Source organism: Homo sapiens, chromosome 3 (genome assembly GCF_000001405.40).
Source record: "Homo sapiens chromosome 3, GRCh38.p14 Primary Assembly".
NCBI lineage: Eukaryota > Metazoa > Chordata > Mammalia > Primates > Hominidae > Homo > Homo sapiens.
In genome coordinates, this window is record NC_000003.12 from 105,978,743 (window position 1) to 105,993,781 (window position 15,039).

Here is a 15,039-nt window from a genome sequence, read left to right on the forward strand (position 1 = left end):
TAGCCCAGAAGCATTTGTTTCTAGGAGCAATGAAATAGGCTAAGTCCCTCTCTATCTCTTGTTTCTCTGAGACGTATTTTTTATTTTAAAGAATTCCTTTTTTCTTTATTTCTTTCACAACCCTTAAAGTATTTTTTAAAAGGTTAGAAGTTACCACATACTTCTCTGACTCAATGTAATAGAGATCCAGCTTCTAGCTGAATGGAAGAAAAGGAAAGGGGGGAAATGATATTTAGATTTTTGGTAATGTGGGATAGAGAAACTCAGTACTTCGGATTCAGGGTACCACCTTTTCTATCTCAGGGCATCCAGAAGGCCAAAGAAATAACCAGACGCTATGAGAAAACGTTGAGACTGTAACAGCCCTCGTAACTGTGAAGGAACTGAGAAACCAAAGAATAAATCGGACAAATTCATTTTGATGAGTAGATGAGTTGATTAGGACCTGCATACAGGGCACTTCTGGATGGCAGCAGGACAGCTCTAGAGTTCAGCACTACCTCCTGTGTCCAAACTGGTTTTAAGCTAATTTTCTGGCTCTTTGCCTACATGTTTGAGCGATTAGGCTATTCACTTTGGTAGGTTCTCAGATACTCTGGGATGTGTGGGTTCTCAGGGACACCTGCTCCTCATCTGGGCACCATGGCCCTGGCTCATCACTCAGGCTTCAGGGTTTAGGCAATGGGCATACACCCTTAGGTAGCCTGGTTGGGGATCCATCACACTACACCAGGATTTAGCGGAATTTAACAGAATCACTTATTCGTTGTCTTACCAGCTATTTGCTGTAAACTAAGGTTAACCTTAATGAATTCTTTTTGTTGTTTATTAAACTACTCCTCTGTAATGTTTTATGTCCACCAGATAAGACACATATCTGGACAGTGCTAGATATACATCAATAAATTATTATTGCCCAATTGTTTGTTTTTGTGTTCTTCATGCAGACCACCTCCCTACTTTTAACTCATCATTATATTAAGCAGATAACAACTCAGATTCCTCCTCCCATGGTTAAATTGTAGCCTTGAGAATGTATTCTGGTCACCATAATTTGATTGAGGAACTCCATGTTTTTATTACACTCAAGAATGACTTGATCATTTTGCAAAAGTCTTGTTAGTCTCATTAAATCCCTTTCACATACTATCTTATAGATGGCTGAGCCTATCCATTTATATTGATTTTATTAGGTTATATTTCAAGGAGTGAGTTTTCTGACCTCACCCTGTGAGTAAATTAAATAAATGATTACAGAGTCTTTCTGGGGATTCTAGCGAAAATCAACACAAGTCCACCAAAAAGCTCACTGGGAAATTTGTGAAAGAACTGCCGTTTAAATTTTGACTCATCAGGCTTATCGCTCATTCTTTCATTACATTTTTTTCTTGAAATCTCATCAAAGATTAGTGTAATCTTATCTAAAGGGTCACATAACAAAGGAAATAGTAATAACCAACATTTCTAAAGTTGGATGTTTAGGATTACCAAGCACTGTAATACATACTATTTCCTTTGATCCTCACAGCACTGGTGGATTATGATGTTTAGTATCTTCTAAACTTTAGAATAGAAAAGTGGTCCTTGAAATGTGGCTTCCACACCAGCAACATCAATATTACCTGAGAGTTTGATAGAAATGCAAGACCTTGGTGCTCTCCAGGAGTACTGAATCAGAAACTCTGTTGCTTTGTTTTGGTTTGTATATATCAGAATAGTTTTTCTCATTATAAGGCATTCAAATCTTTTGGGCCTAAGGATGGTGGGGGCTTTCCTACAAAATTGCCTTCCCCTCCAAAGAAGACATCAATTGTATTTGCTATTCAGCATTCATTCACCATCTACTTTCCCCTACTTCCTTCTGTGAGATGCTCCCATCCTCATTTGCTTTAAGTGAGCTACAATCCACAACATCCCCACCCACTGCCTCTGGAGTGAGCATTTTTAGCCAAGCTAATTAGCCTGTCATGTCTCCTGGACACAGTAATTGGTACATGGACAGGGCATATGACCAAATTAAATCTGAAACATTAAGTATTTTGCTAGTTTGTGCTCCTAAGTATACATACTAGGGAAATTTTCTCACAGATCCACAAGGGGCCAAGTGTCATGATGTTTACTGCAGTAATATCTGTTTTATTTACTGATGTGTCCCAGGTACACAAAACAGTGCCTGCTGCAGTGTAGTGCCCATGATATTTATAAAAAATAAGTTGTTTGTGGCAAGCAGAGTTGGAGGCAGCCTGACTGTCATTGAGAGAGAGAGGAAAAATATGATGGATGCATACTGTGGGGTGTTACACAGCAAATAGAGTAAATAGATGTTCGATAGTAACATAATTGGAACTTAAAAACATAGTGCTTAGCAAAACAGTAGGATATATAATAAACTATGTAAATTAAAACACAGTTATACAAATAGTATGTATTTTGCAAAAATACAATACAATAAACAGGTATACAAACGGTATTGGTACATATGATAGAAAATATATAGATAAATACACACATAATACTTAAAGCAAGGAGTCTTGAAAGGGCCAATGTCGGTGTGTCATGAACTGAAAGGTATGCTTGACTCAAGCTCAAGGACCTGAAGTTAAAAAAATTGCTAGGAATTTTGAGAAAGTAGTTCCTCTCTTTCATGAAACCCAATTAGGATATAACCCTAGGAACAATAGGAAAGGAGAAACTGGAACCTGATTACATCATGAAGACCTTGCATCCAGCCTTGCTAGAAGTGTGTTTACAGGCTGGGTATGTTCAGTTACTGTTCTGTACTCTTCCAGCTCCATTTCTTGTTGCTGTTGTTGTAAAAGATCATTTGAGTATGGTTTTTTAAAAAAGCTTATAACCAAGAAAATACTGAGCATGTCTTTTTTTGTTTTCCTCAATCGACTTGTGAAAATACTATTCTAATCTTCTGTCTCAATTCCACCATAAACACACTCATGCACATGGTGAGGCAATCTGATGTTGATGCCTTCACCTGTCTACTACAACTGCTTTTATTGTTACCAGTAATCCCTAATCAGGATATATGTTTGATGCCTTCTTAAAACGCTCTCCTATCATTTAACTGATTGTTCATCCTCAGGCATTTCTACTGGATCTTTCTTAAATATAATGATTTTCAGTCCATGGTAGCTGGAGATAAATATCTAACCAACTGTGTGTAACAGGCACTGTAAATCGGGGCAGATGTACCAACCAGTGAAAACAGCCACTGGCCTGTAAACAAAGGAAATCATCTGTTTGTGTAGCGCTGGGTCAACTTCAGCCTGGGTGGAAAGTATTTTTATTAATACTATTCTTGTTATTAAGCTCCGAGGTACTGTATTAATTCTCTCTGTTTTACATTTTCTATCACAACTAAATTATCCAATGAAATAAATAGCTTTACTATCACTTCAAAACTAAAGACTTCAAAATCTGTATTTCTTTTTTTCACTTTCAAAGACTTATTTTTAACTGACATGTAATAATTAGACACATTTATGGGGTACAATGTGATGTTCCAATACATGCATACATTGTGTAATGATGAAATCAAAGTAATTAGCATATCCATCACCTCAAACATTTATCATTTCTTTGTGGTGAGGACATTCAACATCATCTCTTCCAGCTGTTTTGAGATACACACTACTTCATTGTTGAACACAGTCGCCTATGACACAACAGGACACCAGAATTTATTCTTCCTTTCTAATTGTAATTTTGTGCCCATTCACCAACCTGTCCCCCTCACTCCTTTCCTCCTCCCCTTCTCAGTCCCTTGTGTCCTCTGTTCAATTCTCTACTTCCATGAAATCAACTTTTTTAGATTCTACATATGAGTAAGAACATGTAGTATTTGTCTGTCTGTGTCTGGCTGATTTCATTTCACATAATGTCCTTGAGGTTCATCAAATGGCAAGGTTTCATTGTTTTTTTTATGGCTGAATAGTATTCCATTGTGTAAATATACCATATTTTCTTGATCCATTCATCCATTTTGAACATTTAGGATGCCTCCCTATCTTGGCGATTGTTAGTAGTGGTACAATAAATATGAAAGTGCAGATATCTCCTTGGCATACTGATTTTTTTGTAATATATTATATATATATAAAATACATATTATATATATTTATATATAAAATATACTTTTATATATAAATTATATATATATTATATATAATACATATTATATATATTTTATATAAAATATATATTATATATAATACATATTATATATATTTTATATAAAATATATATTATATATATAAATTATATATATAAATTATATATATATTATATATATATATATTATATATATATATATCAAGTGGTGAGATTGCTGGATCATATGGTAGTTCCAGCTTTAATTTTTTGAAGTACCTCCATACTGTTTTCCATAATGGTTGTATTAATTTACAATCCCACAAACAGTGTGTAGGAATTTTCTTTTCTTCACATCCTTGGCAATATTTGTTCTCTTTTATCTTTTTGATAATAACCACTTTAACTGGCATGAGATGATATCTCATTGTGGTTTTTTTTTTGAATTTTCCTGACCATTAGTGATGTTGAGCATTTAAAAATATATCTATTGGTAATTTGTATTTCTTTTGATAAATATCTGTTGAGATCTTTTGCTCATCTCTTAATAAAATTACTTATTTATTTATTTATTTGCTATTGAGTTGTTTGAATTTCTTATATATTCTGGATGTTAACCCTTTGTCAGATGTACAGTTTGTGAATATTTTCTCCCATTCCGTAAGTTGCCGCTTTACTCTGTTGTTTCCTTTTCTGTGTATAGGTTTTTAGTTTGATGTAATCCTAGTTGTCTAGTTTTGCTTTTTTGTCTTTGCTTTTGAGGTCTCATTAAAAAATCCTTGCCTAGACCAATGTCATGAAACATTTTCCCTATGTTTTATTTTAGAAGTTTCATATTTTGGGTCTTACACTTGCATCTTAAATCCATTTCAAGTTGAATTTTGTATATGGTAAGAGATAGGGGTCCAGTTTCATTCTTCTTCATGTTGACATGCAGTTTTCTAGCACCATTTATTAAAGAGACTGTCCTTTCCCTAATGTGAGTTTTTAGCATCTTTGTTGAAAATCAGTTGTCTATAGATGCATGAATTTATTTTGGGGATCTCTTTTCTGTTCCATTCGTTTATGTGCCTGTTTTTATGCCAATGCCATGCTGTTTTAATTACTATAGCTTTGTAGCATATTTTGAAGTCAGGGAGTGTGATGACTCCAGCTATTTTTTTCCTCAATATTGCTTTGGCTATTTGGGATTTTTTTCGTAGTTCCACACAAATTCAAATTGTTCCTGTTTGCAGACAACATGATCTTATATATGGAAAACCCTAAAGACTCCACCAAATACTTTTAGAACTAATAAAGAAATTCCATATAGTTGCAGGATACAAAATCAACAGACAAAATTTGGTAGCGTTTCTATACACTAATAGTAAACTATCCAAAAAAAAAAAAAATCAAGAAAACTATTCCATTTACAACAGCTAACAAAAAGCAAATAAGAATCAAGGAATAAATTTAACCAAGGGAGTGAAAGATCTCTACACTGCAAACCAAAAATCAATGATGAAAAAAATTAAAGAGGATACAAATAAATGGAAAGATATCTTGTGTTCATGGACTGGAAGAATGAATATTGTTAAAATGTCATACTACCCAAAGCTATCTACAGATTCAATGCAATTCATATTCAAATACCAATAATATTCTTCACAGAAATAGGAAAAAACAATCCTAAAACTTGTATAGAACCATGTAATTTGTATTTCTATTCCTCACTCCTGAATTCCAAACCTAAATTTCCTGCTAACATAGAGACATATACTAAGATTAAATATTTTTAAAGATTGAAATGTACTAAGATTGAACACTTTAACTCTTAGCATCCACTGAAATTATCTTTCATACTGAGTCTCTTCTCTGGTAATGGCATTACCAGTGACCAAGCCTCAAAAAACTAGAAATGCTAATCATTATTTTTTTCTCTTTTCTTCAACCTTTTACCCTCCCTCCACCCAAGCTAGTTTATCAGTAGCTAGGTACTATAGATTCTATCTTATGGCTTTTTAAATGTGTGTATCCTTTCGTCAAAAGCTCACTACTGTCATATTAATTTAAACCTCACAATTTTAAATCCATATTATATCATGAGTCATATGACAATCTCCCTACCTCTAATCTCCTGATTTTTTAATTCATCTTATGCACTGCTGTTGGAATTTCCCCCCTTAAATCACAGGTTGGATCATATCACATGTCACTTGTGGTCTCAAGTAATATTCAGTGGTTTCCTGTTGTCTACAGAAGTCTCTGTGCCCTTATGTAGTATTCCAAACCTTTCCTGAAATGGTAAAATAAGAAACTCATCTTCTCCTGCATCCTTTCAAGGAATTCTAAAATTCAGTCTTATTATGTTCATTGTCATCCTGGAGGGTAGAAGGAAATCCTAGGCTTCTATGACTTTTAAATACCATTTCTTGAGCTTGAATTCTTCTTCTCTTTATTTATAGAAGCCTTTTCTTTAAGGTCCAATTCAAGGTTACTGTTCCCATAAAGGCTTCTTGAATAATCTTGCTATAATGAATGACTTTTTCAATTATAATTCTATAGCATGTTCCTTCTGCTCCAACTAGCATTTATCCAAATTAACCTTGTAACATGACTTTTCCACTCACAATTATCCTCATGCCTACTCCATGAGAACCAGAGTCTAAGAAATCTTTTGATAAAGATTCTGTTTTACACAACTTTGGTTCTCAATTCCAAACACAGTGGCAAATATGCACCCAATAAATAATTAATTAAATTTAACATTTATAAATGTTTATAAAAACTTCCCAAATCATGGAATAATGCAAAGTATAAATAAACCTATAAACCTACATCCTCTAAAAAACCCTAAATATGTGTATACACAGAACTCTGCATATAATTTAATGGGATTTGTGGTGGACACTTGGACTCACCTACTAACATTTGTTCTAAACCCTTTCTGGTGTACAAAGACTAGAAAGCTTAAAATTATTTTTTGCAGACTCATTTGAAGCTTTTCAATTTCAGTTTTATAATTGCATTATCCAAAATATATTATCCATCATCTCTTCTTGTAGCCACTCTCAGATCCTGGAGTCAATCCTGACATTGCTTGATGGTTTCAGCTCCTGGCTTTCTTGTCATTCCTTCTAACACATCATATTTTGTAACTCAAATGATTTCAATATCCATGTAGATAATCTTTTCAATATGTTTGGGTTCACAGTTCCAGGGAACTTCCAACTTCTTATCTTTTTAGCACACTGCTTCTATTATCCCACTGCAGGAATCTTCTATGACTAAGACAAAATCCAATGATACTATCGATTTCCTGTGATTATTGCACAGTTCATCTTTCTAAGCACACTTTTTTTTTGTTGTTGTTGTTGAGCACACGTCAAAGTTTATTAGCTTTTTAGCAAGGGAATCTGAAAAGAGTGCCTGGTGCCAGGTCTGAGAGGGCATGGAAACTGGAGGGCCATATATTTGGGGAAGAGAATGCTTACATAAGCAGCCAATTTTTAAAATTAAGCAACTTATTAGATTAAAAATGCAGTTTCATTTCATATGGTCATAAAAACACTATGTTTGTAGAAAGGAAATCGGGAGCAAAAAGCCCAAGAAAGAAAAGCAGATGATAAAGAAACACCAGTGTTCATTAAGTGAATAACCAGGGTTTGGTCCCCTGATGATTCAATTCACATTGAAGCATGAGTGGTCCCCAAACAGCTCAGAAGCAGAGTGTGGAGGAGGACTGTCTTTGCACAGTGAATGCACATGTTGCAAATGAAGTTGAAGAGTCAAACCATTTGTCCGTTCTCTAATCTTGGGACAAATATTTTTGATACTTCACACAAAAGTAGAACCAGACAACTAGTAACAGTAAAAAACATTTTGGGTTTCCAGTTTCTAGAGTGATAAAACTATAAAACAAAGACCGGGCGCGGTGACTCATGTCTGGAATCCCAGCACTAGGCCGAGGTGGGCAGATCATTTGAGGTCAGGGGTTCAAGACCAGCCTGGCCAACATGGTGAAACCCCGTCTCTACAAAAAATATAAAAATTAGCCAGGCGTGGTGGTGGGTGCCTGTAATCCCAGCTACTCAGGAGGCTGAGGCAGGGAGAATTGCTTGAACCAGGGAGGCAGAGGTTACAGTGAGCCGAGATCGTGCCATTGCACTCCAGCCTGGGCGAGAGAGTGAGACTCCATCTCAAAAACAAACAAAAAACAAATGAACGACAATCCTCAACAATCAGATTAGTATTTTAACAATTCCATCTTGCAGTGTGCTGTGGAGATGTCTCTTAATGGGGAATTTGTATGTAACCCCAATTTATGCTGAATGTAATGGATTATGTAGATAGGGTATCTGATTTTTCCTGATACATTCCTGAATTTTATTTGCTATGTTTTTAAATTTTATTTTTCCTTTTTTTCCTATGCATACCCATTTATTTGCTATTTTTAAATTTAGGATGTATGCATTTAAAAATATTTTTGTCGGGTTTTGACCTGAAGTTCTAGGGCAGCACAAAATGAACTGGGAGAGCTTTGAACCCTGTTCTATTTTCCTGGAATTTAATTCTAAGCACACTTTTGCTTATGACTTCCACTGTCTCGGCTTCTGTATTCCTCTTTCATACTCACTTGGAAAAGTGCTAATGCCAATTAAATCCAACACTCTTTAAACTTTGCCAGCACTTGAGTAGTAAAAAATGATTGTAGAAAATCAAACAACAATGCTGACTACTCTTACTTAAATTCATGACCCTACCTGCACTCTGTGCTGCCTTGAAATTCTGCATTTCACCATTTTATTCACTATAACCTAGATGGAATAGAACATGCTTTCTTTTCTCAAGCCTCAAAAATGACTTTCCTCCATCCCCCACCCCGCATCCTCACCCTTAGTTCACTGAGAAAATATAGGCAATCAAGAAAGATTTTTCAAACTATCACCATATACTTGTCTCCTGCTAGATTAAATTAATTTCACTTGTTTTCTGTGACCTTTTGACTTCTCAAATATCTCCTTTACTTTTTTTTTGATTTCTGTCTGGCATCACCAAATTTTCACTCTATACTAATCATTAAATCAGAATATACACATTCTATATCTCTTATTTTAAGAACTCATTTGACCCACATCTTTTTCAGCTATAGCGCCTTGAACGTGGTGACTATATTTATTGTCTACTATTTCCTTTACTTTCATTTTCTCTTTTATCTACTCTAATCAACCTTCCATCCTCATAATTCTCCTAAGTTGTCAAAATCACCAATAATTTCAACACAGCTATATCTAATGGTCAATTTACTGTTCTTGTTTTATTTGACTTGTCATCAGTATACCACTTTCTCTTGAAACTTGTTCTTTACTTAGCATTTAGAGTATTACTCTTGGTGTTTTTCTTAGTCTCATTTGCTAGATTCTCCTCTATTCCCATAATGCTAAACCTTAGAGTATCTAAGGGCTCAGTTCTTGGGTCTCCTCCCCTCTCTGTCTTGACTCACTCCTAGGTGGTATTATCTAGTTCACAGCTTTAAAAATTTTGTGAATGTTGATAAATTCCAAATTTATATCTCCAGACTTGCCATCTCCCATGAACTCCAAATATACATCCAACCACCAACTTCACCATGAACTCCAAATATACATCCAACCACCAACTTAACATTTCTACTGGATGTCTGTTATGTTTCTTAAATTTAACATGTTAAAAATGGAGCTCTCAATATTTCCTTTACTCTAAACATGCTCTACTTTCCGTCTTCATCATCTCAGTTAGTGACAATTTTATCTTTTTAGTTTGTCAGGCTAAAAGTATTGATATCATTCTTGAGTTATAACTTTCTCTTACATCTGACAACAAACCCTATAGGCTCCATCTTCAAAATACATTCAGAAACTGCAACTTTCTACTTTTGTTGTCACTATCCTGGTCCAATGAATCGTAACTTCTTGACTGGATTACTATAGCCTCTTTACTCATTTTTCTATTTCTTTGCTGACCCAAATAGTTTATTTTCCAAAGAGCAGTTAGAATGAAATTATTCAAAATGTCAGTCAAATCTGTCACTATTTCCCTTGGAGCCTCTTAATGTTTTTGTATTTCATGCAGAAAGGCAGCTGAAGTTCTTAGAATGATTTAAAAAGCACCACCCAATCCAGACTACTCAGGACCACTCTAACCTCATAATCTTCCACTCACTCTTTTGTTGACTTTGCCCCTCCTCCACTGGACTTATTTGCTGATTCTTGAACATACCAAGCGCATTCCTGCCTTAGAGACTTTAAAAGCATTCTTTTTTCTTCCTAAAATATTATTTTCCCAGATATCTTTATGGCTTGCTTCCTTGCTTCTTTCAGGTTTCTTCTCAAATGTTACCATAATTACCATACATCATTGAGGTTTTGTTTGATAGAGGTATATAGAATAATAATTTGTCCTTTTCTAACACTGCTTTCCCCCTTATCCTAATTTTCTTAAAATCATTTATTACCACATGGCCTACTACATAAAGAATTTTACATAGTAAAATTTGTTTATTGCCTGCCTCTACAAAGAAGGAATTTGTTTTGTTCACTGCTGTATATCTAACACCTTGAATAGTAATAAAGTACATGGTAGGTATTGTAAGATGGGACAAATTAATGAATGAATCAATCAATCAGATACAATCTCCAAAAACATTATGACCTGAGTCATGTCGAGAGGGTGGTAAATAAAGCATTCTTATATTTTACTGTCTTAGATCATGACACAAGTAAAGTGTTTTTTTTTTGTTGTTTGTTTGTTTGTTTGTTTGTTTTAGAAGGAGTTTCGCTCCTGTTGCCAAGGCTGGAGTGCAATGGCGTGATCTCAGCTCACCGCAAACTCTTCCTCCGGGTTCAAGCGATTCTCCTGCGTCAGCCTCCTGAGTAGCTGGGATTACAGGTGTGCACCACTATGCCTGGCATAAGTTTGTATTTTTAGTAGAGATGGGGTTTCTCCATGTTGGTCAGGCTGGTCTTGAACTCCCGACCTCAGGTGATCTGCCCTCCTCGGCCTCCCAAAGTGCTGGGATTACAGGCGTGAGCCACTGCGACCAGCCCATAAAGTGGTTTTATACTCAGGAGCAGCAACAGCATTCAAATTTTCGGCCTTCCACATTAGTGCTCTTACGGTAGAGGCAGAGGGATTCTGGAAAGTGAGAATTGTTTCTCAGAACTTAGCATAGAGCTTGTTCCTTTACGGTTTCTTTTTTTTCTTTTTTAATTTTTTGTGGGTACATGAGATATTCTGATACAAGCATGAAATGTGTAGTAATCACATGAGTAAAAATGGGGTATCCATCACCTCAAGTGTTTATCCTTTGTGTTGCAAACAATCCAATTATAATATTTTTGTTACTTTTAAATGTACAAATTAATTATTATTGACTATAGTCACCCTGTTGTACTATCAAATACTAGGTCTTATTTATTCTTTCTAACAAGTTTTTGTACACATTAACCAGTCCTGCTCCCTCCCACCTCCCACCAAGCCTCATTACTCTTGCCAGCCTCTGGTAACCACCTTCTACTCTCTATCTCCATGAATCCAATTGTTTTAATTTGTAGTTCCCACAAATCAGTGAGAACGTGTTATGTTTGTCTTTCTGTGCCTGGCTTTTTTCCCTTAACATAATGACCTCCAGTTCTATCCTTGTTGTTGTAAATGACTGGATCACATTCTTTTTTATGGCTGAATAGTACTCCACTGTGTATGTATGCCACATTTTCTTTATCCATTCACCTGTTGATTGACACTTAGGTTGCTTCCAAGTCACTATTGTGACTTAGTCTTGCAATAAACATGGGAGTGTAGATTTTCTTTGATATATGTATTTCTTTTCTTTTGGTGATATACCTAGCAATGGGCTTGCTGGATTGTATGGTAGCTCTATTTTTGTTTTTTTGAGGAATGTCTAAACTCTTTTTCATAGTGATTGTACTAACTTACATTCCCAGCAATAGTGTACAAGGGTTCCTTTTGCTCCACAACCTCTCCAACATTTGTTCTTGCCAGACTTTTGGATAAAAGCCATTTTAACTGGGGTGAGATGATATCTCATTGTAGTTTTGATTTGCATTTCTCTGATGATCAGTTATGATGAGCACATTTTCATATACCTGTTTGCCATATATATGTCTTTTTTTGAGAAATGTTTATTCAGATCTTTTGCCCATTTTTAAATTGGATTATTAGATTTTTTCCTAGAGAGTTGTTTGAACTCCTTATACATTCTGATTATTAATTCCTTGTCAGATGGGGAGTTTGCAAATATCTGTGGGTTGGCTCTTCATGTTGTCGGCTCTTCATGTTGTTGCTTGTCTCCTTTACTGTGCAGAAGCTTTTTAACTTGATGTGACCCCGTTTGTTCATTTTTGCTTTGGTTTCCAGTGCCTGTGTGGTATTACTCAAGAAATCTTTGCCAACCCAATGTCCTGGAGAGTTTCCTCCATGTTTTCTTTCAGTAGTTTCATAGTTTGAGGCCCCAGGTTTAAGTTTTCAATTCATTTTGATTTGCTTTTTGTATATGGTTAGAGACAAGGGTCAAGTTTCATTCTTTTGCATATGAATATCCAGTTTTCCCAGCACCATTTATTGAAGAGACTGTACCTATTACACAAAGCAATCTACAGATTCAATGCAATCAATCAGTCTCTATCAAAACACCAATTTATTGGCCTATAGTTGCTGATAGTAGCCACTAATTATCCATTAGATTTCTGTGGTATCAGTTGTAATGTCACCTTTTTCATCTCTGATTTTATTTATTTGAGTCTTGTCTCTTTTTTCCTTAGTCTGGCTAAAATTTAGTCAATTTGGTTTATCTTTTCAAAAAACTAGCTTTTTTGTTGATCTTTTATTTTGTTTTCTCCATTTCACTGTCATTTATTTCTGCTCTGATCTTTATTATTTCTTCTCTTCTACTAATTTTTGGTATGGTTTTTCTTGCTATTCTAGTTCTTAAGATGCATTGTTAGGCTATTTTTTGAATTATTTTTCTTCTTTGATGAAAGCACATATAGCTATAAACTTCCCTGTTAGTACTGCCTTCATAGTATCTCACAGGTTCTGGTATGTTGTGCTTCCACTATCACTTGTTTCAAGAATTTTTTCAATTTCATTCTTAATGTCTTTGTTGAGCCACTGGTCATTCAGGAGCATATTGCTTAATTTCCATATGTCTGCATAGTTTCCAAAATTCTTCTTATTATTGATTTCTAGTTTTATTCCATTGTGTTCAGATAAGATGCTTAATATTATTTCAGTTTTTTTGAACATTTAAGACTTGTTATATAACTTAATGTGTGGTTTGTCTTTGACAGTGATCCATATGCTGAGAAGAATGTGTATTATGTAGTATTTGGATGAAATGTTCTGTAAATATCTATTAGATACTTTTCATGTATAGTGCAGATTAACAGATTAAGACGAATCTTTCTTTGTTTATTTTCTGTTTGGATGATTTGTCCAATGCTGAAAGTGGGATGTTGAAGTCTCCAGCTCTTATTGTATTGGGTCTTATCTCTCTGTGTAGATCTGATAATATTTGCTTTGTATAACTGGTGCTCCAGTATTGGGTGCATATACATCTAATATATTTGTTATATAATATAATTGTTATATCATCCTGATGAGTTGACTAATTTATCATTATATAATGACTTTTTTTGTCTCTTCTTTTCATTTTTGTCTTCAAATCTATTTTGTCTGATTTAAGTATAGCTACTCCTGCTCTTCTTTGGTTTCTGTTGACAAGGAATGTCTTTTTCCATTTCTTTATTTTCAGTCTGTGTGTCTTCATAGGTGAAATGTGTTTCTTTTAGGCAACATATCACTGGGTCTTTGTTTTTAATCCATTCAGTCACTCTATGTCTGATAGAAGAGTTGAGTCCATTTGCATTCAATGTTATTATTGATAACTAAGAAATTGACATTTTGTTTTTTGTTCTCTAGTTGTATTGTAGTCTTCACCTTCATTAAAAAAACAGGAAGAAAAGAAGGAATAGATTTTCTCTGGTGGTAGGGTTTAATTTCTCACTTTTTCTTTTTTGTGTATGTGTTGTGTATTTTTTGGTTTGAGTTTATCATGAGTTGCAAATACTATCTTACAACTCATTTTAAAATGAAGACAACTTAACACTGATTGCATAAACAGACAAACAAGCAAAAATGAAACTATTACAAATTTACCCTTTCACTTTGTTCCCTCCTGCTTCTTAACTTTTTGTTGTTTCTATTTATATCTTACACTAATGTCTACGTATTGGAAAGTTGCTGTAGTTATTATTTTTTATTGATTTACCTTTTAGTCTTTCTGCTTAAGATAAGAGTGATTTAGACACCACAGTTACAGTATTATAACAATTTGTGTTATTCTGGGTACATACTAATTACCAGTGAGTTCTTTATACCTTCAGGTGATTTCTTATTGCTCGTTAACATCCTTTTTTTCTGATTAAAGAAGCTCCCTTTAGCATTTCTTGTAGAATAGTTCTGATGTTGGTGAAATTTCTTAGCTTTTGTTTATCTGGGAACATCTTTATTTCTCCATCATGTTTGAAGGATATTTTCACTGGATATACAATTCTAGGGTAAAAGTTTTTTTCTTCAGCACTTTAAATATCTCATGCCACTCTGGCCTGTGAAGTTTCCACTGAAAAGTCTGCTGCCAGAAGTATTGGAGCTCCATTGTTTGTTATTTGATTCTTTTCTCTCACTACTTTTGAATGTTTTCTTTATTCTTGTCCCTTGGGTTATTTATTTATTTATTTATTTATTTATTATTATTATACTTTAAGTTTTAGGGTACATGTGCACAATGTGCAGGTTAGTTACATATGTGTACGTGTGCCATGCTGGTGTGCTGCACCCACTAACTTGTCATCTAGCATTAGGTATATCTCCCAATGCTATCCCTCCCCACTCCCCCCA